This window comes from Homo sapiens, chromosome 6, assembly GCF_000001405.40.
Source record: "Homo sapiens chromosome 6, GRCh38.p14 Primary Assembly".
Lineage (NCBI taxonomy): Eukaryota > Metazoa > Chordata > Mammalia > Primates > Hominidae > Homo > Homo sapiens.
This window is the reverse complement of record NC_000006.12, coordinates 163744672-163769744: the sequence shown is the minus strand read 5'-3', so window position 1 is coordinate 163769744 and position 25073 is coordinate 163744672. Positions and strand designations below refer to the sequence as shown.

At 44.2% G+C, this 25073-nt stretch overlaps 1 long non-coding RNA gene across 1 annotated transcript, besides 1 other annotated feature; it reads right to left on the bottom strand.

The window, feature by feature from the left end:
* Positions 1-9368: 9368 nt before the first annotated feature.
* On the bottom strand, positions 9369-20562 carry LOC124901499 (uncharacterized). The gene is made up of 2 exons (XR_007059932.1): positions 20471-20562; positions 9369-10520 (listed from the first exon to the last, which is right to left on the bottom strand). It is a non-coding gene; the product is annotated as an uncharacterized LOC124901499 (long non-coding RNA).
* Positions 18742-19344: an enhancer, noted in NCBI's record as "H3K4me1 hESC enhancer chr6:164171433-164172035 (GRCh37/hg19 assembly coordinates)". NCBI's record gives its function as "activates a minimal SCP1, AML or CMV promoter by ChIP-STARR-seq in naive H9 embryonic stem cells {active_cell/tissue: H9 hESC(naive)}" and the evidence as "EXISTENCE:reporter gene assay evidence [ECO:0000049][PMID:30033119]".
* Positions 20563-25073: the final 4511 nt, after the last annotated feature.

The following is a 25073-nucleotide window of genomic DNA, read 5'->3' as shown; positions in this document are numbered from 1 at the left end:
AATTTCACTAATTTCAGTCTGCACACAGCAATAATTGAGAGAGATGTACCGCATGTTCACACAGTGATGGTAATTTTGTCAACTGCTTTTTGTAGATTTGTCATATGTGGCTTGTATATGTTTATGTTTGTTTTATTAAAACTATGCAAGTTTAAAATTGTTTGATCTTCTTGCTAAATTAGAAATTTTATCATTATGTAATGATCTTCATTTTTTATTACGTGTTTTTGTCTGATAGCAATGTTATGATGACTTTCTTTAGAATTTGCTTGGAATATCTTTTACAACTTTTATTTCTGTATTTTTTATGTGCTTATATTTTGTAGTGATCTTTCATAAATAATATAGTTAGCAGTTGGAATTTCGCTTTTCTTAATCATATCTACCATATAACTGGTGGGGTTAATCGTCTTAAGTTGTGTTTATTGATAAATCGGAACTGATTTATACCACCTAGTTTCAGGATTTCTATCTGCCTTATATTTTTGTACTTCTTTTTCTCCTTTTTTGCTTTTTATTAATTGAATTTTTAACTATTTTTTGCTGTATTTAAATCTATTTGTTTTTAGTGTTCTATAGCACTGTCTATGTGTTTCTTTTCCTTTATTCTTCTTGGTATACAGTTTGCCACAAATATCTGTGGATTTCTGTCTTTCATCAGTTCTGAGAAATTATCAGTCATTATCCTTTCAATACTGCCCTTCCTCAGTTTCCTCTATTTTCTCCTTCAAACTAATTAGACATTAGCTCTTCAAACTAATTAGAATTAGCTCTTCTCATTCTATTCTCCATGTTTCCTTACCTCTCTTTCAAAATGTTCATATTCTTGATATATAGACTACATCCCAGATTATTTCTTCAGATCTATTTTCTATGTCATGAATCCTTTCATCATCTATGTCTAATCTGCTTAAATTAATTCATTGAGTTTTTTAATTTTAAGTTTTTCCATTCCTAGAATTTCCATATGGTTATTTTGTTTTTTAGATATGCCTGGTCAGTTTTGTAACCTTTTATTTTATTCTCATTTTTATTACATCTTTTTTTTTTTTTTACCTTAAACATTTCATTTGTATCTATTTTATATTCCACCAGCTGGTCATTTTGATATTTTAAAATGAGGTTTTACATACAGTGCTTGTTCTTTTGGCTTATTTTCCTTTATAGTGGCTGATATTTTTCCTTTGAGTAATTTTTTGTGAAATCAGATTTTGTTTACCTTAATCTGTAATGATCCTGGCAACTAAATTTGTAAAGCTCCTGTTTACAGGGGATTGTGTTTGCTTCTCTCAAGAGCCAGTGGCACTATTTATTTGTAATCACTCTAGTCTTTGTTAAGAGAACTGGGTTAATATGGAAGTTTTAAGTTTTATCTCTCCACCTTTTATAGTCTCAAAGCTTCCTGCATAGTGGTACTGACCTAGGCATTTAATTTCAAGACCACTTTCCAAGTGTTTGTCTACTCTTTACTGCTCTATGATCTTAGACCCCTGTTCTTGTTTTTGTTTTTAATCTTTCTTCAGACATTCTCCTTACTTTCTAGTGAGCCCAGGGACGCATTAAAAGTTATTGTTGTTGTTATATATCTGAGACTTTTTTTTTTTAGTCAATGTCCTTTCAGGTTGCTCAGTCTGAGATATTACCAGAAATAAAAGTCCCAATCTACAAAATGAGATTTTTTAACATGAAAATTAAATTATTGGAAAGGCATCAAAAACTCAGATTATCCCACTTTGGTTTATATAAAATTATACAAATAATTGAAGCAATAAATAGATGACATCTTTATAGTTAGTTAAAAAATAAGAATGGCATTTCTTCCATAGTGTATTCTATTTATTTAAATGTTCAGAGCTCATATGGAATAGGAAACACCAAAAAATAGAGCTGTTTCCTACCCAAGAACATGGTGTTATACACCATGGTGCATGAGCAAAAGGCTAGAAATAAATGTTATCCTTATAATACCCTTAAGTTTAGAAACCATTTTAAATAAAAACCTGTATTAATATTCCTGGGATTTAAATGGCTTAATAATAGTTATTGACATTGGGGTTTACAAAGTAATTGACTTTATATCCATTATTTCATTTGATCATCACAACTTTGGAAGGAGTGAGACACAGGTTTTTATTTCTAGCTTATAGTTGGGAAAAATTAAGTGTCAAAGAGATCAAGTGATTCGCTGACTGTTATATAATAAAGAGGTGGGACACAAAGGCAAGAAAACAGACTCCACTTCCTGGGGTCTTTCCACCACATTGCCTTGAAGAAGGTTTAAAAATATTAATTAAATTAACCTAGATAGAAAATATTCTCCTGGATTCTAGAAACTCAAAATAAAAGAAGTGGCAATCCAAAAAAAAATTAAGAAAATGGTAAAGGAAGATGAAACTGTCTAACAACAATAACAAACTGCAAACCAAATTTGACAAGAACAGAATCATAACAAGAGGTTGCTATCACTCTCCATTAAAACTCTAGCTAAAAGCAAAGCTAGGAAATTGGGTGGAATGAGGTTTATTCAAGATTGACATTAAGATATTTGTAAGTCAGCAAAATGGGCACCATCCTTACTTAGCCTTTTTAGCCCACTTAATAGCCTACAGTACTAACTATGACGAGAAGCTAACAGACAACACATCTGTAAGAAGGCTTTCTCAGTCAGTATGACTAAGGTGAGAGGGTCCTCAATCCTGCATTGTATGTCTGTTCCAGAGATTCTATTTGATTCCGTGATATTTGTTTTCCCCTACAATCTCAAATCCTGGAGGAGTCAGAGTCCCCTGCCATAGATGGCAATGGGTTTTTTTCTCCCTGGAAAAATGTTTCTAGTCCCCTTTGAATAAGTAATACCTAGCTGGGTTCAGAGTTGACTCTACCTTCTCAATGTTCTACACATCATCAAGAGCTAGGTAAGATTTCTCAGGGACGCATCCCCTGGTACTATCTGGGACCTTTAAATAACTCTATGGCTCAGTAAACTAATCTATGTCCAAATAAACCAAATGATGGCTATCCAACCAAGTTCTTCATCGACTTTGGCCTGTATACAGCAGACAAGGACTACCATTTTATCATTTTCCAGGGAGAAAAAAAACTAATGGAGGATTAGTTCCACTGGGGGAGACTAGTGTGGCCAGTGTCAAAACACAATACAGTGTAAGTACTCTACTGCTCAGCTTGCCTCTTTAGAGAGAGTCCTACTGGTCCAGGGGAACCAGCATTTATCTTAGTGAAAGCCCCTACCTTACATATTAAGTTCAGAGGTCTCCAGGCCCTAGGAGAACTGTCTAACACTAGCTACCCAACAACTTCCACTTGAAGATTAGCAGCCTCAGGTAGTAGAAAGTAGTAGAAAACAAAGACTTCCCCGAAGCTACAGTGTGAGTCACAGGAAGCACCAGAACAATGTCTGATGCACAGTGGGGCCTATTTCAGAGTAGCTTAGAAGTAAGAAGAGAACATTTATAATCTGTTTGGCCATGGTGTAACCATTCTGAACTATTTTCTTTTTTTTTCCCTTTTTTTTTTTTTTTTTTTTTTTGAGACAGAGTCTCGCTCTGTCACCGAGGCTGGAGTGCTATGGTGCAATCTCGGCTCAATGCAACCACTGCCTCCTGGGTTCAAACGATTCTCCTGCCTCAACCTCCCAAGTAGCTGGGACTACAGGCATGCGTCGCCATGCCCGGCTAATTTTTGTATTTTTAGTAGAGATGATGTTTTGTTGTGTTGGCTAGGCTGGTCTTGAACTCCTGACCTCAGGTGATCTGCCCACCTCGGCCTCCCAAAGTGCTGGGACTACAAGTGCAAGCCACCATACCAGGCCTCATTCTGAGCTATTTTCTAAACAATTTTTTAGATCCCTGGGTCTCATGGATGTTAAAGACATTCTCACTATAAACTCAGGCAAACCCATTGCCAGACATTACTGCACAGCAATAGGTACACCACATTAAAGCCATACTACAAATCTACACCAAAACTTTGAAAAAGTAGAAAAGTACATTTGTATGTGTCTATGATCCACTTTGTGTTTGGAAATTTACTATTGAAAGAGAAAGGTTCAAAGCTGAAACATTAGCTGCCCAAGGACTCATGCATGGCTAGGAATTGCATCTGTCCAGTGAGCTTCAGCTTGGGTGCATTTGTGCAAAGGCAGAACTGCAGTGATGCAAACACTCCCAACCACACACATGTAAAATCTGTGTTTGTTCCAATAATCATCCTCAAGGTCACATATTTTTCATGTGTAAATTAGGAACTCAATTTTGAAAATTTGGCCCAGCGTCTCTGCAAATTGTTCCTTCTTTGTCATTGAGAATGTCACAGCTGTTCTTGTCAGAAAGAAGACAAAGAACAGAAAGACAGTCTATTTAATCTTCATTCACTGACCTTCCATGTAAAAAGGAAAGAAACATAGAAAGGAAAGAGGAAAAAGAGAACTGTTTTTCCTTGCAGGTTTATTCCTGTACTCTCATCCATGATATGATATGCTCTCATATCAGCCCAGTTCTTGACAGCCACAAAGCCCTACTTAATGATCTAAACCAAGGGTCTGCCCCACCTGAGAAAAAGGCTTGGCCATTTTCTCTTGAAGTGATACCACCTACGGAAGTCTGGCAAAGTGACTTTTAACAATTTTGCTAGACTGAGCTAAACACAGAAACGTGGATAACAGGCTGTTTTGAGCACGCTTGTGCTACTAATTTTAATGGCTGTACAAGAACAAACCTGTTAGAAAAGAAACACAACGGCTTTTGCTAAACCTTTCCAGATCTACCCTTTGCTCCTATCTTCTTTCATCTTTGCTTCTGTCTTCATTCTGCTCCTTGTCTCGTGCCCTCTGGAGTGCCTGTTCTTTCTGGCCCTGGTTCTTTCAGGAGCTGCTGACTGATGAGACTTCTGTACTCCTTGAACAACTAAACAGTTTCATCCCACCCTTCCTGCAGCCAGTGAGGATGTTTGCAAAAACCCAAACAGCCTGGGGAGGTGTCAGGAAGTGAACCGAAGAAGGCATGCTGTTTATAGGCCAGAAACATTGCTGAGATTTTATTCTGGGTTGGTTGTTTGGATTGTAAAGAGAATACAGCCCCTCCCAGGGAAACGCTGACTGTCTACAGGCTATCATTCGGAGAAACCACCTCTGTAATGTCTGGCCACAAGCCTCAGGGGGCCCACGAAAGGAGACGAATGATGAAAGGATAGCAAAAATAATTGCTTACCTAGTATAGGGTAAAAGAGAAACAAGGAAAAATTTAGAACACACTTTACAAACTCTCTTAAATACTGGGACTTGCCAAATGCTTTGCTTACTGAGATATTGGAGACTTACATAGTTTGAAAATGTTGTAGAACTTTCATTGCCTTAAAACTAAAGAAAACAAAGATACGTGCTATAGAAAACCATCCTGGGAGCATTTGGCGGCACATAAGAGATAAAGAAGCCCAAAAAACAGTCAAAGAACACTGATACTACTTTGAGTGATGAGTGGATGGAAGGTTTATATTGCCCTTATGGGATAAAATAGAGAAGCGCCTTATGAAGATGAGAAAACGGATTATAGATATTTTAGAGCTAAATAATGCCTTAGACATCACCTAGATGAACTCTCAGGCTTTCTATATTAATTATATTGGGGAAAGATCATCCAAGATCATCCAGGATAAGCCATCCTTTGCTTCAAGGATTAGGCTGAATGAGACTGAGGAACTGAGAATAAGTCAGGAGAGAGAGGCAGTGTTTCCCATGACAGACAGTAAGTAAAGTCATAAACAGAGGAAGATCCATCATGTATCAGGTGGAGAGAAGGAAGAGCTTGGGGCCAGGTCTAGAGTCATGGAGGATGCCATCCAGGATACGTCATAAAAAAATTCATTCAATTTGAGTATTCTTTTCAGAGTCCTTTACCTTTATTTAAACTATTTATTGTAAAGTCATTACAGAAGACTCAAAATAACTTTAGAACTCTCACAATTGGACTAACCTGGCTATTATTTTTAAAGGAAAAGGCTTCATCCACTAGCACCAAAAATGACTTTTAATACAACTAAATGCCAACAAGAATTTCATCTGGGAGAAATCATCTTCTTAAGTAGCCAAGAGTCCAAACAGTGGGGCCAAGAAGAACCAGAGACAGGTGGTCATCTCTACCTTGGTGTAGGTTGCTGCTTCAGGGAAGAATGGAACTTGCCCCTTAAACTCATGCCTCCTATCCTCAATAGAAGCAGCACTCCTCTAATTCATCTTTGCTCCAACCCACTTTCACCACATGACCGGAGAGTGCTGAACTCCAAGATTAAAGAGCTTCCCATGAAAGTGAGATGATGAGACAAGCAGACACAACTGCATGGCTATCCACACCTTGGTCTTCCTTCTGGTCCAAACCTGCTGACAGAGGAACACAGGAGGCCACGTGCACCCCTGGCCCTCACACTTGGGACTCTCTGCCTTTCAGAACAATTTGAGCTCCGAGGCTTCTAGTTTTTGCTTTCAAAGAGAAAACTAGAAGCAGAAAATATCCAACCTCAAACAGCTTATGTCACTGTGAAATAGTACTCTACGGAAATAAAATAGCTTGAGGACTTTGAAAAAATATCCAAAGGTTCTTACAAAGATGGTGTCAAACAATTCTTGAACATGTTAAGGCCAAAGCACTTGTAAACATTCTGGCCTTAGAATATGCTGTGGATTCAAGATAATTCTGCCTTAAACACTGGGCTACTTCCCTTTCTTTAAATTGGATTCAGAAAATAGCATTTATTCTCTTTTAAACATTGTTGGTTTCCCTCTCAAGTCATGCTTACAAGATTCAAACTCAGAAAAAAATCACCCCAAGTTCAACTTTCTGAGTTGACTTTATGAGCTAGTAATCCATCACCGGTTCATTATTAAATCATAACCAAAATGAACATTAGTGAGTCTCCCTTTCCACAATGCCCTAAGAGGCATACAACAAAGGTGATTGCAATTCTCTGGGATGTGACTTGGGTTCACACTGGTGTTACTGACCTTCCGCAGGGTCTGTTGCATTAAAAACATTGAGCTTCTTTTTTATTTTTTATTTTATTTTATTTTATTTTTGAGATGGAGTCTCACTCTGTTGCCCAGGCTGGAGTGCAGTGGCGCGATCTCGGCTCACTGCAACCTCTGCCTCCGGGGTTCATGCCATTCTCCTGCCTCAGCCTCCCGAGTAGCTGGGACTACAGGCGCCTGCCAACAGCCTGGCTAACTTTTTTGTATTTTTAGTAGAGACGGGGTTTCACCATGTTAGCCAGGATGGTCTCCATCTCCTGACCTTGTGATCGGCCTGCCTTGGTCTCCCAAAGTGTGAGCTTCTTTACATATCAAAAATGTTCACACATTAATAGGCTAACAAAATAGATTTTGGCCCTATAGTTGTTATAGGCTAAGCTATATTTCTCCTTCCCGCAAATTCATATTTTGAGGCCCTAACCCCCAGTACCTCAGAAGGTGAGCGTATTTGGAGACAGGGTATTAAAGAGGTAATTATGTTAAAATGAGGTCCTACGTGAGGTCCCTAGTCCAATCCAACTGGAATCCTTATAGGAAGAGGAGGTTAGGACACAGACAGAGAGACAGCAGATCCTTGTGCACAGAAGGGTGACTGTGTGAAGAGGCAGGAAGAATGCAGTCATTTAAAAACCTAGGAGAGGCCAGGCGTGGTGGTTCACGCCTGTTATCTCAACACTCTGGGAAGCCGAGGTGGGCGAATCACCTGAGATCAGGAGTTCAAGACCAGCATGGCCAACATGATGAAACCCCGTCTCTACAAAAATACAAAAATTAGCCAGGCATGATGGCAGGTGCCTGTAATCCTAGCTATTCGGGAGCCTGAGGCAGGCGAATAGCAAGATTCCAAAAAAAAAAAGACCTAGGAGAGCATCCGCAAAGGAAACCGATTCTTCCAGCATCTTGGTCTTGGGCTGTCTGCATCCAAAACTGAAAAATAAAGTACTGTTGTTTAAGCCACCCAGTTTACAGTATTTAGTCATGGCAGTCCTAGGAAACTAATTCACTTAGTCATCTCCCACATGTAAGAAGGTTTGGGAGATCTCATTCCATCAACCAAATTCCCCAATTCCATTAATCATATTCAATGGTATGGTTGGACCCCATTAATCTATATTCTATTTGCCAGCTTGTTTCATGTTAATCCTTCAGGATCAAGACTCATCTAACTTGGTGCATACTCTGAGCCTGAAAATATAGAAGAGGGTTGTTCATTGGAATTTTCAAGGAAAGTGGAGGCAGAAAGTGAGCTGACCCTCTCAACTCAAAGAAAAAAATGAAATGAGGAAAACTGATCACAGGAGCACTTCATTCCTCTTGTCTCTTTGTCTCTTTTCCTCGTTTTCCTTTCTTCCTCCATGTCTTCAACTGCAAAATGAATATTATAAGCCCTAGTTCAAAGTTGATGGAAGAATGGGTGAACTAATACGCTTGACTGCCTCTGCAATGACAGAGGAGAAGAAAATGCAGTGGGTGAGGGGGTGTAAAAAGGACGAGGGACAGAGGAGACAGACAGCTCACGTTTATGGGCTCTCACTGTGAGTCAAAAACCATCCTAAACACTCTACATGAACCCTCTCACTCAAAGCTCATGATAACTGGGTGGGGTAGAAGCACTGCTCCTTGCATGCATCTTTCTTCCAACCCACTTTCACCACGTGACCAGAGAGTGCTAATTTCCAAGATTAAAGATCTCCCTGGGAAAGTGAGATGATGAGATAAGGAGAAACAGAACTGCATGGCTATCCCTACCTTGGCCTTCATCACTAACTTCATTTCACAAGTGAATCTGCTAACATTTCAAGAGAGGGTAATTTGCTACCTAGTTCACATTGCTAGTAAGCAACAGATCTGAGAGAAAAAACTTCAAAACCCAACTGGTAAACTACGATGGTTGTTTCCAAGTTTGAACTTTCCTATTCTAGCTATAAATTCATGCTAATTCTGCATAGTGGTTTGATGCTGCTGTTCATAGGCAATGGAGACAGGAGTTTTTAATGTACATGAGTACACATCACCTTCTTCTTGATCTATGGAAAAGGCAAAGAATAATTGACGGGAAAAAAGAAAAACAGGACGGCAGAGAGATGGAGACCCATCCCCCTGAGCAAAGTGCTGCACTGCCAAGTACCAGGTGGTGTGCAGTTTTGAGGCACTGGAAAGGAAAAATGCAGAGAGAGTGAGAGTTTCAGGGAGCAGCTGCTCTCCCTGTGGAGGATACCGAGAGGGGCAGAAATGGGGAGAAAGAAGTGTAAAAGATTCCTGCTGTGCATCAAGAATGTACTCCCAACCACCCTCCTGATATTTCCTTGACAGATGAAGTGAAATATTTGAATTGCTTTACATGACTTTTTTATTCTAAGTTGTGTTTATTTGAGCTGATAATGAGAAAATATTGGAGCCATGGTGCCCAGTTATACTTGGGTAACATTTTCTGTGTTGTTTTCCACAGAAATGAAACATGGATATAACCTCAAATATCTAACTTTCTTGCAATTAAAGTATTTTAGTGGATATTTATAGAACACATTGGAAAAGAAGAAAATTTATAGGATAACATCTTTTCAATACATAAAAGGCTAGGAAACCAGTGTGTGGCTCTATATAGGAGGTTGGATTGGAGGGTAATTGACATTTCCTAATCTGCCAAGGTTATGGAAGTACAAGTCTTCAACTTCGGAAAAAAGATGTCTTCTACTTCCAGCTCCTGTTATCAGTGGCCCTATCGCCACCCTCTGTGCCCTTTTCTGTTTATTTGCGGGAGTCACTGAACCTCTAGATTATACTTTTAGAAGTATGCAAAAGTAAAGTAAAGGTTTACCATGGAGGATGGTGGTTTTTTCCTCCAATCAATCATTTAACGAATATTTATTCAGCACCTACCGTGTGCCAGGCACTCTGCTATATCCTTGGGATGCAGTGGTGAGTAAAACAAGTAAGGGCCCTGCATTCCTGTGAGCTGACAGTCAAGGAAGAAGGAAGACAGTGAGCAACCAGAGTGACTGGCTGTGTACTCGTAAGTGCTGGGGAAGAAAACTAGTCAACTATTGGAAACAACCGGCAACCGCAGGGAGAGACTATTAGCTTCAGCAATCAGAGAAGTGTTCCCTAAAGAATCAGCAACTTCACTGACCCAAAGGAAGGATGACCAGGGAGTAAGTAGGTGAAGAAAGGAAAAGAGAGCAATTTGGGAGGGGAAAAAAATCAGAATCAGTCTCAGAATGTTCACATAGAAAGAGCCTGGGGTGGCCAAAGGCCCCTGCACCCCACTCCCCAACTCACTCAGCTTCACTTCCTTGCCTCGCGTTCTCTCCTTAACTCACTCCAAATGTTTTCCACCTCTCACTTTTTGGCCATCTCAGCATCATCTCCAACTTGAAGCACTTCCCACTAGCTTCAGTTTCCTTCTCTTTCTTGATTTTCCTCATATCTTCCTGGAATTGCCTGTTCCTGGGACTTCCCACTCTTCAGACCTTCAATCTTCCACCTGTTAAAAGAAAAATGTCAGCTGAATTAAATTTAAAGGAGTTTAACTGAGCAATGAACAATTTGTGAATGGGCAGCCCCCAGAATCACAGTAGATTTAGAGACTCCAGAGCAGCCACGTGGTCAAAAAAGATTTACAGACAAAAAAAAAAAAAAAAGGAAATGATGTACAGAAATTGGAAGTGAGGTATAAAAACAGCTGGATTGGTTACAGGTTGCCGTTAGCCTTATTTGAACTTGGTTCAAACAGTTGGCTACATTTGGCCAAAACTCAGTAACTGGCACAGGTGTGGGCTATTGTTGGTTTACACCTCCACTTGTTATAGTTCACGATGTACAGAAAAACCTTCAGGCTGAACTTAAATATGTAAGGAGGCAGCTTTAAGATAAACTTGATTAACACACCCCTTCTGCTCTCCCCTTGTTCCCAGCCCCTGGGGCCACATCACTGCTCTTTGAGAACCTAGGGAAGCCCGTACATACACGATTGTAAACAGTGGGTCAAGATAATCCAGAGTATATTTTAAAGAGATTGCTCTATGTGGAGCATAAAAAATAAAAGCACGCATATGGGGAGCGGAGCTAGAAGGCAATAAGATGCACGCGGCAGTAACGAGGATGTGTTACAGGAAAGGGGTCCTGACCAAACCCCAAGAGAGGGCTCTTGGACCCCACGCAAGAAAGAATTCGGGGGCGAGTCCACAGAGTAAAGTGAAAGCAAGTTTATTAAGAAAGTAATGGAGTAAAAGAATGGCTACTCCACAGGTAAAGCAGCCCCAAGGGCTGCTGGATGCCCATTTTTATGGTTATTTCTTGATGATACTCTAAACAACGGGTGGATTATTCATGCCTCCCTTTTTAGACCATATAGGGTAACTTCCTAATGTTGCCATGGCATTTGTAAATGATCATGGCGCTGGTGGGAGTGTAGCAGTGAGGACGACCAGAGGTCACTATCATTGCCATCTTGGTTTTGATGGGATTTGGCCAGCTCATTTACTGCAATCTATTTTATCAGTAAGGTCTCCATGACCTGTATCTTGTGCTGACCCCTTATTTCATCCTATGATTAAGAATGCCTTAACCATCTGGGAATGCAGCCCAGTAGGTCTCAGCCTTATTTTACCCAGCCCCTATTCAAGACGGAGTAGCTCTGGTTCAAACGCCTCTGACAGACGGACAGGAGTTGATAAAAGTGGATGTATGTAAGAGATATTCCATATATTTAAGAGTTGAAATCCTCAGGACATGGAAACGAAAGGAGGAAGAGAAAGAGGTCATAGTCTGAGGGTCCTGGTGACCAGGCAGGTAACAGTGCCTTTTACTGATGTGTGAAATCAAGGAGGAGCAGCTTTCAGAGACAGACCAAAGGTTTAGGTTTGAACATGAAGAGTGTCCTTAAGAAGTGCAAGTGGGAATGTTAATGGGCAATGAGATCATTTGCATCTGGAATTCAGAGAAGCAAGCTGATCTACAAATTTAAAGTTTGGAGTCATTGGAATGCAAATGGCACTTGTAGCTGGCAACAGCCATGAGCAAGGGTGAGATCTCCAGGCAAGAGCAGAGTGTGAAGGAGACCTGAGAGCAAACTGTGAAGGAGAACAGGATGGAGAAGTCTGCTGAAGAGGACAAGCAGGAAGAGCAGCCTGAAAAGAAGGCAGGGCCATGAGGGGAAGTCAGCTGCCATCAATGAAGCCAGTGTGGAGAAGGAAAGGAGAGATCAGCCAGGTCAAATGCTGAGAGTATGAAATGAAGGCTGAAAATGCCCATCACACATGATGATGTGGAGATACCTACTATTTTGTTAATATGATATTAGCAGGATACAAAGTTGAATGCATTGAGGAGTGAAGAGGAAATGAAAAAATTGGGCTAGTTACGCTCAACAAAATAGAACAAAAGACCCTATTAAAAAATGAACAAAGAATAGATATTTCTGCAAAGAAGATATACAAATAGCTAACAAGCACATGAAAAGATGCTCAATACCACTAATCATTAGGGAACTGCAAATCAAAACCACAGTGAGATACCACTTTATCCCATTAGAATGGCCACTACTGGAAAAAGAGAGAAATACAAAATAATAACTGTTAGCAAGGATGTAGAGAAATTAGAATCTTTAAGTGCTGTTTGTGGGAATGTAAAATTGTATAGCTACTATGAAAACAGTACGGAACTTCCTAAAACATTAAAAATAGAATTACCACATAATCCAGTAATCCCACTTCTGGGTGTGTACCCAAATGAATTAAAAGCAGGGCCCTGAAGAGATATGTGTACATCCATGTTCACAGCAGCACTATTTACAATAGCAAAAAGACAGAAGCAACCCAAGTGTCCATCACTGATGAGCGAATGGATACACAAAATGTAGAAATGTAGTGTATATACAGCCGGGCACGGTGGTTCATGCTGTAATCCCAGCACTTTAGGAGGCTGAGGCGGAAGGATCACAAAGTTAGGAGATCAAGACCATCCTGGCTAAGACGGTGAAACCCCATCTCTACTAAAAATACAAAAAATTAGCCGGGCGTGGTGGTGAGCGCCTGTAGTCCCAGCTACTCAGGAGGCTGAGGCAGGAGAATGGTGTGAACCTGGGAGGTGGAGCTTGCAGTGAGCCTTGGCACTTCACTCCAGCCTGGGCGACAGAGTGAGACTCCATCTCAAAAAAAAAGAAAAAAAAAGAAAAGAAAAGAAATATACGTGTGTGTGTGTGTGTGTGTGTGTGTGTGTGTGTGTGTACACTACTATGGAATATTAGCTCCAAAAAAGAAAACTTTGACACATGCCACAACACGGATGAGCCTTGAGGACATTAAGCTAAGTGAAATAAGCCAATCACAAAAAGACAAATACTGTAAGAGTCCATTTACATGAAGTATCCAGAGCAGTCAAATCAGAGAGAGAAAGCAGAATGGTGGCTGCCAGCGGCTGGAGAAATGGGGAAGGGAAACTTGTTGCTTCATGGGTATAGAGTTTCAGTTCTGCAAGATGAAAAGAATTCCGGAGATCAGTTGCACAGTAATGTGAATACACTTAATACGGCTGAACTGTTTACTCAAAAATAGTTATGATGGTAAAATTTTTTGTTATGTGTATTTCACCACAATTTTTTAAAACTCAGCTATGAAAATGTAACCCTTATATGTGGGTAGAATAAATCACATGTTTTAGTAGCTAAAAAGAAATACTCGGCTAATTATTGTATACACTTCTTTCAAGGAATTTGGTGTAGAAGAAAAAAGAGATCAGGTGGTAACTGAAAGACAAATGTGAGATTAAGAGAAATTCATTTCTTCTATAAATACGGTAGAAGCTCAAGCATATAGAAATGATGATAGGAATGAACTGGGAGGGGGGAAATTTAGAGCAGGAAAGAATAATCAATATTGAGACATCTCTCAGAAGTGGGAGGAGATGCAATCCAGAACACAGATAGAAAGATGAGGCTTGGCCAAGAACACAAACACCTCCTCTAAGTGCAAAGAGAGGGAATGAGGCTGGGAGGAAGGAATGAGGTATTCAGTCAGGTATATTGATTTGGGAGCAGAACGTTGAAGGGTTCTAGTCTAAATGCTTTAATTTTCTTAGAAAAGAATCAGGGTTCTCTTCTGAAAAGACAGGTATTGATGAGGCTTTAGAATTTCCAAAATAGTAAAGAAAGTTCAAAATAGTCATTAAGAGCACAGGAGAACATCCTGGCCAGGGAAATACGGTAGGATTGCTCGGCAGGATGGAGCCCCCATTCAAGGCTGGTATCTTATGAGTTTATCAGGATTCTTATCTGCCCTATTGTGTGGTTTTCTCTGACCTCCTGGGATACCTGGGTACAGGTACAGAGAAAATGTATTGTTGAGTTCGTCCAGAGTTGGGGTTTTGACAAATTTGCCGAGGGACGGGGAGATGATTTGGTAAGACCTAATGTTGAGGAACCAAGGAATCTAAGGTACATATGGAGAGAAATAAGGAGAGACCAATGGATGAGGAAAAGGTTAAAGAATGAATGAACAGGGGGTTCCGAGGGCCAGAGATGGTTTTAGTGGAAGTAGCTGATCAGGCAGCTGGAATGGTTAAAAAAAAACGTGTAGCAAGAGAGAGGAACATGCATATTAAGAATCTTGGCAATGACACTGCATCAAGTTGGTGGGGCGGGGTGGGGGACACATGACAAAGTGGGGGAGTGGCCACATGTGGGGCACCAAGAGGACAGGCCATCAAGCGCATGCTGAAGGCACCCAGGAAGACGGCAGAACCAGGGTGGAGAGAAGACAGAAAACCAAGTGACAAAGCCTTCATTTGTTAGGGAAAAAGGAGGGGTGCTTTTTACAGTTTTATTCACAACATTTGCTATTATGGGTTGCATCGTATCCCCCGAAAATTCCTATGTTGAAGTCCTAACCCCCAGCAACTCAGAGTATGTCCTTATATGGAAATACAGTCATTGCAGATACAATTAATTAATTATGATTATTACAATTAATATAGTTAAGGTGAGGTCCTTAAAGTGGACCTTAATCCAATATTACTGGTTTCCCTATAAAAATGGGAACTTTGGGCCAAGTGCGGTGGCTCACGCCTGTAATCCCAGCACTTTGGGAGACCGAGGTGGGCAGATCACGAGGTCAGGAGATCAAGACCATCCTGGCTAATACAGTGAAACCCCGTCTCTACTAAAAATACAAAACAATTAGCCGGGTGTGGTGGCGGGCGCCTGTAGTCCCAGCTACTCTGGAGGCTGAGACAGGAGAATGGTGTGAACCCAAGGCAGGGCTTGTAGTGAGCCAAGATCGTGCCACTGCACTCCAGCCTGGGTGACAGAGCAAGACTCTGTCTCAAAAAGAAAAGGTACTTTGGGCTGGGCGTGGTGGCTCACGCCTGTAATCCCAGCACTTTGGGAGGCGAGTTAGGTGGATCATGAGGTCAGGAGATCAAGACCATCCTGGCGAATATGGTGAAACCCCATTTCTACTAAAAAAAAAAATACAAAAAATTAGCCAGGCGTGGTGGCGGGCACCTGCAGTCCCAGCTACTAGGGAGGCTGAGGCAGAAGAATGGCATGAACCCAGGAGGTGGAGCTTGCAGTGAGCCGAGATCGTGCCACTGCACTCCAGTCTGGGTGACAGAGTGAGACTCCGTCTCAAAGAAAAGGTACTTTGGACACAAGCACTCACAGGGAGAACACCAAGTGAAGATGAAGGCTGAGATGAGGGCAATGGGCACGGGCACACAAGCCAAGGATCACCCAAGGCTACCACCAGAAGCCAGAGGAGAGGCCTGGAACAGATTCCGCCTCACAGCCTTGCAAGGAACCAGCCCTGCTGACACCTTGATCCTGGACTTCAGCCTCCTGAATGGGGACAGTAAACTGCTGTTAATTCAACCACCCAGTCTGTGGTTCTTCATGACAGCTGACCTAGCAGACACATTTGCCTTAATGCATTTCTATCCCACTCTGTAAAGACAAGTTTTTGGAAGTATTCCTTGGGCCTCAATTTCCTGTCTGGTCAGGCATCTTCACTGAATTCAAGGAACAGAAGTTTTCTTGTCTTCTAGGTACTAGAAGGTCTACTGCAGGTCTGCTATGACTCACACCATGGCAGCCATTGTAGGCAACGGCTCCAATCTATTCATTTCTCACCACTGCTGTCAAGGCCTTGTTCGTAGAACTGCTTTCACAAAATTTACACAACCATCATACATGGTTAGTATCATTTTTCTCATTTTGCAAATGAGAATACCAAGGCTCTGAGAAGTTAAGGATTTTTCCCAAGATCAGACAAGTATGACAGCTGCCATTGAAACCCAGGCTGTCTGATTCCAGAGCTGGCATTTCTCCCACTTCCAGTCCTAACTGCAGACTAACTCCACTCAGAGGCAGGTCTCCCCTCAGCCCTCTAGAGGGGCTGCCTGTTCCACCCCTGGATGCTGAAAAGGTGTCTTTCCAGCCTGGTGCCATGGCTCATGCCTGTAATCCCAGCACTTCGGGAGGCCAAGGCAGGGAGATCGCCTGAGGTCAGGAGTTCAAGACTAGCCTGGCCAACATGAAGAAACTCCATCTCTACCAAAAAATACGAAAAAGTTAGCCAGGCATGGTGGTGTGCGCCTGTAGTCCCAGCTACTCGGGAGCCTGAGGTGGGAGAATCGCTTGAACCTGGGAGGTGGAGGTTGCAGTGAGCTGAGATCGCGCCACTGCACTCTAGCCTGGGTGACAGAGTGAGACTCCATCTCAAAAAAAAAAAAAAAAAAAAGAAAGAAAGAAATGAAAAGATGTCTTTCTTCTCTGTTCCGTCCTGGCTCTGGAGGTTATTTCTCTCCTGCTGTGCCTCCTCGGCTTCTCACTGTTACCCGTCACCTTCCCAGGGACCCATTCCAAACCCCCTAAAATAACTGAGGCGTCCTCCACGATCCTGCTCCTGCCTAAGTTTTCGGTCTCTCTCTCTCTTCACTGGCAGCCCCGTTCCTCTACCTCTGATCCCTCCAACCATTCTGCAAACCATGCAATTCCCCGCATAGCCCATGCTCTCCAACCTCTCTGCCCTTGCTCCTGCTGTGCCGGGCCACGCCTTCTCATTCTGACCTCAGCTGGAAAAATTCCTCCCGTCTTCTGATTCTGATTTAGACGTCCACCTGAAGAGAAGAGACCCTTCGTATTCTCTGTTGTATTCTCATTTACTTGACATTTCAGACAAGCGTGGCCCTCTCCGCGCCCAGTCTCTGGTGGTGTGGCAACAGTTGAGACCAAGCCCCTGCCCCACAGAACCAGCATCCTGGTGAGGGAGAGAGAGGCCGGAGCCACACTAGCACCTGCTATGGAATGTTTCTGTTGAATGCTGCTCTTGGTGGGATATTTGACTTTATGAAGGAAACCCAGACTCCCTCCTAAAGCCTGCCTTCTTATATTAGGGGAAGTATGCAAAGGCTACATACGTAACCCAAGCATGCAATGAAATGGGCCTGGATCAAGTAGTCTGAGTGTGCAGGCCTTTCCTCTAGCTTCTGTGCAAAGGGAGCATGCAGGTGGCAGCACGCGGCTTGACTGGCAAAAGTTGAAAAGCTCAGGTCCGCAACAGAGCTAAGGCTGCGAGGAGGGCGGCGCGTTGGGAGTGCAGGCCCAGCAAAGGCCACAAGGAAACGCAGGCCTGAGCTGGCAGATCCGTCTTTACAGAGAAGCTAGAAATCTGAATTTTGTTGCCCAGGCTGGAGTGCAGTGGCACAATCTTGGCTCACTGCAACCTCCGCCTCCCGGGCTCAGACAATTCTAGTGCTTCAGCCTCCCAAGTAGCTGGCATAACAGGCATATGCCACCAGCCTGGCTAATTTTTGTACTTTTAGTAGAGACATGGTTTTGCCATGTTGGCCAGGCTGGTCTCAAAGTCCTGGCCTCCAGTGATCCACCTGCCTCAGCCTCCCAAAGTGCTGGGATTACGAGCGTGAGCCACCACACCCAGCCAACAGTAGTTGTATTTTTAAATATGTCTCCAGACATCACAACCGAATATTACTCTAGCCCTAACTTGGCCCGAGGACAATCAGTCGCCCTTCATTTGGGGATCATCGCCTCCTCCTTTCCTTTGTTCAGTGTTCCATCTGGCCTTTCTCTCCTGCCTTCCAGGGACTGCTCCACCACAGGGATACGTTGTTTAGGTTCATTTTATTGTGAGGCATTTCCGACACCTGGGTCCCGTGGAAACGCCCTGGAGAACAGAGACCAGGGCTGGACATCCCTGGCTGCCACGGTGGGCAGGGCCGCGCAGGCCCGAATTCCTGCCTGGATTAGGGCTGCGGGGAGGGAGGAGGAGGGAGGAGGAGGAGGTGGGAGGAAGAGAGGAGTCTGAAGGGCAGGAAGAAAAGCTGCTGCTGTTTGGGTGTGCCGTTCCCGCGGAGGTGACCGCAGCCGAGTAGCAACATGTTAAATGAGGTTGACAATGTGTGAAGTGGAAAATGTCACCAGCAGAAGAGAGACACCGTGAACTTTAGTTTTGATTTAAATTAATGGGAACTCAAGGAGAGAAAATCCTTCCAGTGTTCCAAGAAAAGCCACAAGGTTACAAGTGTGGGCCCGCCTGAGTAGGCGGCTGCCTGGGTGTGAAAGATTCACCCACACGCACCTCGTGTTTACTTGCCGACGACAGTGAAATATTTAGACACATAAATACTTCAATTATGGGGATGTCATCCGACTACCAAGCTTTGGGTTCCACTGTGACAAACTCGAATCTTTTTTCTCCCTTTCCCTTTTTGCAGCCATGGCCTGGAGGAGCACCGGCTGCTGTGGCACTCACAGCAAGGAAGGCGCAGCCGGGGGAAGCCTGGGGCACCTGGCGCATGCCGCGTTGAGGCTTGTGGTGCGGCGAAAAATCAGCAGAACATTCAGAGGGAGGAAACCCCAGACAGCAATGAGAATGAATTGCTTCCAGAGGAAACTACCCACGGCCTCTTCGCAGCATGTGCTGGGCCAGGCATTTGCGAGTGGGGACTCTGGCCTCTGTGGGATGAAGGGGTGCCAGGCCGTGGGAGGGAGGCTGTGATGATGTCCCAGCTTGCCCACATGCCCTCCTGCCTCACACACGGCGCTGTCAAGCGACCCAACTACAACACAACAAAGCAGGCCTGCTCGGTTCCTTCCCTCATTCATTCTCCAGAGCACCCAGCACGAATGGCTTGGCGCGAAGTCTTGGCAAGCAGTTGAACAGGGGAATCTGGACTCCAGGCAGTTAGCCCACGAGAAGTCCTGGTTGAAGAGAAGCCGAATGGATGGGAGGACAGGGAGGGAGGCAGACTTGAGGGATTGCCGTGGTGCAGGAAAGTCCCCACCGTCACCGTGAGGGGTGGGAGACAGCTGTGGAGCGAGAACTGATTAGCATCGCCTTAAGAATCCAGAGGAGTACAGAGGCAGATGAGGAGTTGCGAGAATTAGCATCCTTAACTAAGAGACATAAGTGTAATGGGAGCCAAGATGGTCCTAAGTGGCTCATCCCAGGCTGCTTTGCAATAACGTGAGTGTTAAATATGCACCAAAAAGGAGGGGGCAGAAAAAGGAAACCTAGAAATAAAGCGAGTGTGGGTATTAGAAATAGACGACGCGTGTGCATTTATATACAGCTAACTCTCAGGTTTGTTTTCAAACAGACGCATGACCATTTTTTAAAAATTGATATGTTAAGCCTCATTGCAATGCATTAGAATTCCAGGGAAACTGCCTTCTGTGCTCAGGGTAATGGCAAACCCATCTCTTCCTCTTATCAGGGGAGGTTTGTGATGGTGGCATCGCCCTTCTCTGATAAGGGTGCTAGGGCTCCATGGAACCATCCATCTCTGAATTTCAAAGCAAATATTAATTGCTTTTTGCCTGTGTAGGGTTTATTTTCCCAACCAGATTGTAAGTCCTTTAAGACAGAGAAGAATCCTGCACCTCCTAACATCCTCCCCGCTCCTAGCTAATGAAACTTCTGAAGCATTTGCTAGTAGACTGCTCTATGGACCAACCGTGGCAATGTGCCCACCCTATGCGCTTTGCAGCCCTGACAGTGAAGAAAAAGCCATTTTGATGTCTGTGAGCTATCAAGAAGGCAGGCACTGTCAATGGGTGACAAGAATGCATACGCACAGCTTTTTGAAAGGGGAAAGTATTTTGAGAACTAGATATTAATAACAAGTAACTCACAATGCATGCTCCCCAAGGCTATTCCAAGCAGATTCTACAAGGAGGGTCACTATTAAGAGAAATGGATGCTGTTTATTTTGTCTTGCCCTAACCCTCCCCTGAACCTGCAGGGCTTCCACCCTCCCCCAAATTCTTTGGTGTCCCAGCGGGGACATATTTATAAAACTGCTCTGCGGGTGCCCACAGGGCCCCTCTGTCTGCCTCCTCTGCCTTCCTGGCCTCCACTGGGGCGATCTGCAGCAGTGACATCCCCCGGCCCCTCACCCCATCTGTTCCCCTCGTACCTGCGAGATCTCTGGTTCTACCTCCTCTGGAGGACACTACTTCTCGATGCTTCCAGAGCAGCCAGTCCCATCCCCCAGTGCGGCCCAGCTCCCACCACGCTTGGTGTGGGAGCCACTTTGGGCACGGGCTGTGCTCCAGGACAGGCTGCCAGCCCTGCTGGAGCCCCCGCCCTCAGCCAGCTGAGAGGAGGCCTCTCTGCCACTTAGCACCGTGGCTGTCGGAGGGGTCCCTGCGAGGCCGCCCAGCCCCCCTGCCCCACCAAGGTCTCAGGAGGCCGTTCTTTGCCTTTGGTTTTGCTGCGGCCTCCCCGGTTTGTGTGCTGAGAGTGAGGAGTGGCTGGGCCACCAGGAGAGACGCTGCAAGCCCACACTCAGAGCCCCTGCCTCCTCTCCTCCACTCGCATGTCCTGATGTTTCTCAAGCTTCCCACCTTTTTACTTTGTTAGGCTTGTTTTCAGGGTGCTCTGCGTGTCCTTAGGCCCAGAGAGCCACAGGGAAGCATGCTCAGGTCCCCCAGGTGGGTCTGAACCTTTCAGTAAACACCACTTGGGTTCAAACATAGACCCACCCATGCTGGCGGCATTCCTAGGACAAGAGCAGCTTGGGACATGCTGCACACCCATGACCTCACTCTGTTCTCACCACCATCCAGGGAAGCCAGCGGTGCTCTTATTCTCCTTTCACAGGTGAGCAAACTGAAAACCAGAGGAGCCCAGAAGCCAGCCCACGGTGGCACAGCTCGAAGAGCAAATGAAGACTTAAGTCCAGACCTCTGCTTACTTAATTTTGTTCTCTAATGGAGAGAGGTGAAAAGGGTGCACGCGTCTCCACAGCCAGGACCAAACAAGCCATGCAGTGTGGTCATCGTGGCTCCTTTCTGCTTGTTGGTGGCAATGGGACCATAATCCTGATTGATGCTCCCCAGACAGAATGGACCCATGAGAACCAGAGGTTTGCAGCCCCCGACCCGCTCCAAGCTAAGGCACAGGAAGAGCATCCCAGTGAACGGTGACCACTTTGAAGAAACCCAGGGGACAAAGCTGAGCAGGAGTTTATGGTCCAGAAAAGTACAGGTTCTGTTCAGGAACATGAAGATTGGACCCCACGTCCCCCGTGTTCCTCCCTGGTTTCCTCTCCCAGGTGAACACACCTAAGGTGGTCAGGGTCACCGAGTCAGACCCGCATGCTGCCAGCCAAGCCTTGGTCTCTGGGAGCAACCCTAAGGCACTCCCTCGTGGACAACATCTCTATCCCTCTGCATTTTAGCTTCAAAGCTCACCACACATACAAATGGGATACATAGCTCTTCAAACCTTTAAAATAATAACCATCACAGAGCAACTTTTCTTCCTTGAACTCTGAATATGAAACCTTCATGCTTTGTTTCTTCAGAGGTATTAAGATGGAGGGATAAGAGCATGCACTGTTTTGTTTTGGCTTTTTTCTACGCTTGCTGGAAAAATCACACAACTTACTTGTTTTACCTAGAAATTTTCTGAGTTTTTAAAGAGAATATTCCCAATTGCAAAACCATCTCTATGAAGACAGCAGTGTTGAGTTTTCCCTCCCATAAGCTGGGGAAGCCCCTCCTGTTCCTGGACCTGATGCCCTCGATCTGGGTGGGGCTCACCTGAGAAAGGGCACAAGTGTCCAGACACCAAGTCCTGAGGCAAAACTGAAGCACAGGACTCGGGGGGTTCCCAGGCAGAACTTTCTAGACTGTTCTTAACACTCCTGGCCAAGATGGATAGCATCTGATTTATTATCCAACAGTAAGTAAATGCTCAGTCATGAGGGAAACAATTTTCAAAATGTAATATGAATACTCTGCAGGGCTCATGTCAACATTTAGAACAGGATGACACCGTAGAGGGGACCTTGTCTGCACCTGATATGGTTTGGCTGTGTCCCCACCCAAATCTCATCTTGAATTGTAGCTTCCATAACTCCCACGTGTCACAGGGGAGAGCCAGTGAGGGCAGACCTTTCCCATGCTGTTCTCGTGATAGTGACTAAGTCTCACGAGATCTGGTGGTTTTATAAAGGGGAGTCCCTACCCAAACTCTCTGGCCTGCTGCCATGTAAGACGTGACTTTGCTGCTCATTTACCTTCCACCATGATTGTGAGGCCTCCCCAGCCATGTGGAACTGTGAGTCAATTAAACCTCTTTCCTTTATAAATTACCCAGTCTTGGGTATGTCTTTAATAGCAGTGTGAGAACAGACTAATACAGCACCCCACTTTCAGGGATTTTCAAATATCCTATCCAGAACTCTGCAGCCAGCACAGGGGCAAGAACGCAGTTCCTAACTCACTCCCAGTGTGGGGGCTTCCAACCCTGTCAGGCAAACTGTCTCTGCAAGGAGGATGACCATCCCTCAGAATACTGGAAAATGGGAAATAGAAAAAGACAAAAAATAGAGATAGATCCAAATTAAACAGACCATGATGATGATAGTTATGTACTGAACACCAACCATGTGTCAGGCACTGGAATAGGGATTTATACACATTAAATAATGGAATCATGCCAGGAGCGGTGGCTCACACCTGTAATCTCAGCACTTTGGGACACTGAGACAGGAGGATCCCCTGAGGCCAGGAGTTCAAAACCAGCCTGAGCAACATAGCAAAACCCCATCTCTACAAGGAAATAAAAACGATCAGCCAGGCATGGTGATGTGTGCCTGTAGTCCCAGCTACTCAGAAGGCTGAGATGAGAGGATCCCTGGAGCCCAGGAGTTCGAGGCTGCAGTGAGCTATGATTGCACCACTGCACTCTAGCCTGGGTGACAGAACAGGACGCTGTCTCAAAAAAAAAAAAAAAAAAACAAGAAAAGAAATCTTCATTCTGACCTTATTAGCTATTTGTTCCATGTTTTATAAATGACAAAACCAAGGTGCAAAGAGGTGAAACCAAATGGCCCAAAGTCATCCGTTTACTGGAGGACAGAGCTAAGGTTCTAGCCCAGGTCTTTCCATTACGTCATTTAGTCTTCTCAGGCCAAAAGCCCTGAGCCCGCCGAGTGACAGCGTTGCTTGTATATAGCTTCTCTCCTATCGTCACCTTCTGGCCCATACACAATTTAATCAGAAAAGACAACATTCCTGCCTGATGAGAGCATACCAGCATGAAAACAAGAGACAGACACGGCAGATCTAGCACATGCCCCTGTGGCTGCTGACAGCTCCTGCATAGCTCTGCACATAGATCACCCACGTAGGTCATCACAAGTCACTCTCAGAGGCTTCTCAAAGCCTGGGTCATGCCCATCACCAAAGCAGTCCTGCACTCCCAGGAGGCCCAGGCTCCCTGCAAGCCTGCTCTATCCAGAAGCCATTTATTTTGCAGCCAACAAAAGGAAACATGCTCCAGAGTTTAAGCTCCAGATCCTAGGGTCCCACTGGAGAAGCCTCACTTTAAAATTAAGTGTAGCTGAAATGCCTGTACAATGTAGCCCATTCAAAAGATCAGTTTTAGCCACACCACTTTTAAATGAATCTTCTTATGTCCAGTGTGGTAGAGGTCAAACACAGCTGACTTAAATACTGCCTGTGGCCAAGATTAGTAAAACCTTATTAACGCATGCTCTATTCATTTGGAAGTTGTTTATGTATGCAGACACATAACCTGGGCAGAACCAGATTGACATCTGCCTTTGAACTATCTTTGAAAAAGGAATTTACTAAGCATGCAGTATAATTAATATTGCACAGAAAATGCCCAATTTAAACGCTCCCATTCAATCACTCTCATTTATTCATTAAATAGTTGCCTAAAGACATCTGTCTCTTACTGTTTTGTTACTCTAGTATCAGAATACTATGCATTCTTTAAAGCAATACAAAATGTAATTCCTTTGTAAAATTTCAACTATGATTTTTCACTGGCTGTTTTTGTTCTCTAAATCTAATAGAGAGTTTCCAGGGGAAGTTCAAACGACGACAAGACAAGGCTCACAGCATAAGGCAGCCAGGAAGGAGGCACAGTGGAGGCCCTGACGCCCTCGGGTCGGGGAAGGTGGAGAGAGGCATCTGAGCTGGGACTCTAACCAGGAGACCCCACCATGAAGCCACAGGGATGGGGCTGAGCTGTTCCTAGCACACGCAAGGATAGAGTCTCTGTTCTAGATGGCTGGGAAATACCCACCGAGCCTCCACCAACTGCTCAGAGCTCCTTTCCAAGCTGCCGGCTGGATGACATTTTGTCCAACTTTCTAACAAACATGGGGGTGGGTACCACAGTTTGCCTGAAAAACTACATTTCACTAAAAAAAAAAAAAAAAAAAAGTGGGGGGAATTATTTTTTGGAGGCTTCAGCAAATGACACTAATCACCACCATCCCAAAGCACAACAAATACAAATTAGAACTGGAAGTTGTAAGTCTGGGGAGACTTGGTGGCTTTGCTGACTGACTCTCTGCCCGCCTGTCATACGCCCCGCTGTGCAGGAGGACGGCTGCTGAGACACATGTCTGCATGCCCGACGTGGCTACTCTCCACACCCATCCCAGCTGCGCCCCTGGCAGAGTGGGGCCATGCAGCTCACCTGGCAGGACCCCTTCAGTGCAAGGAAAGGAGGTCTTCTTGGGTTTCTTCAAG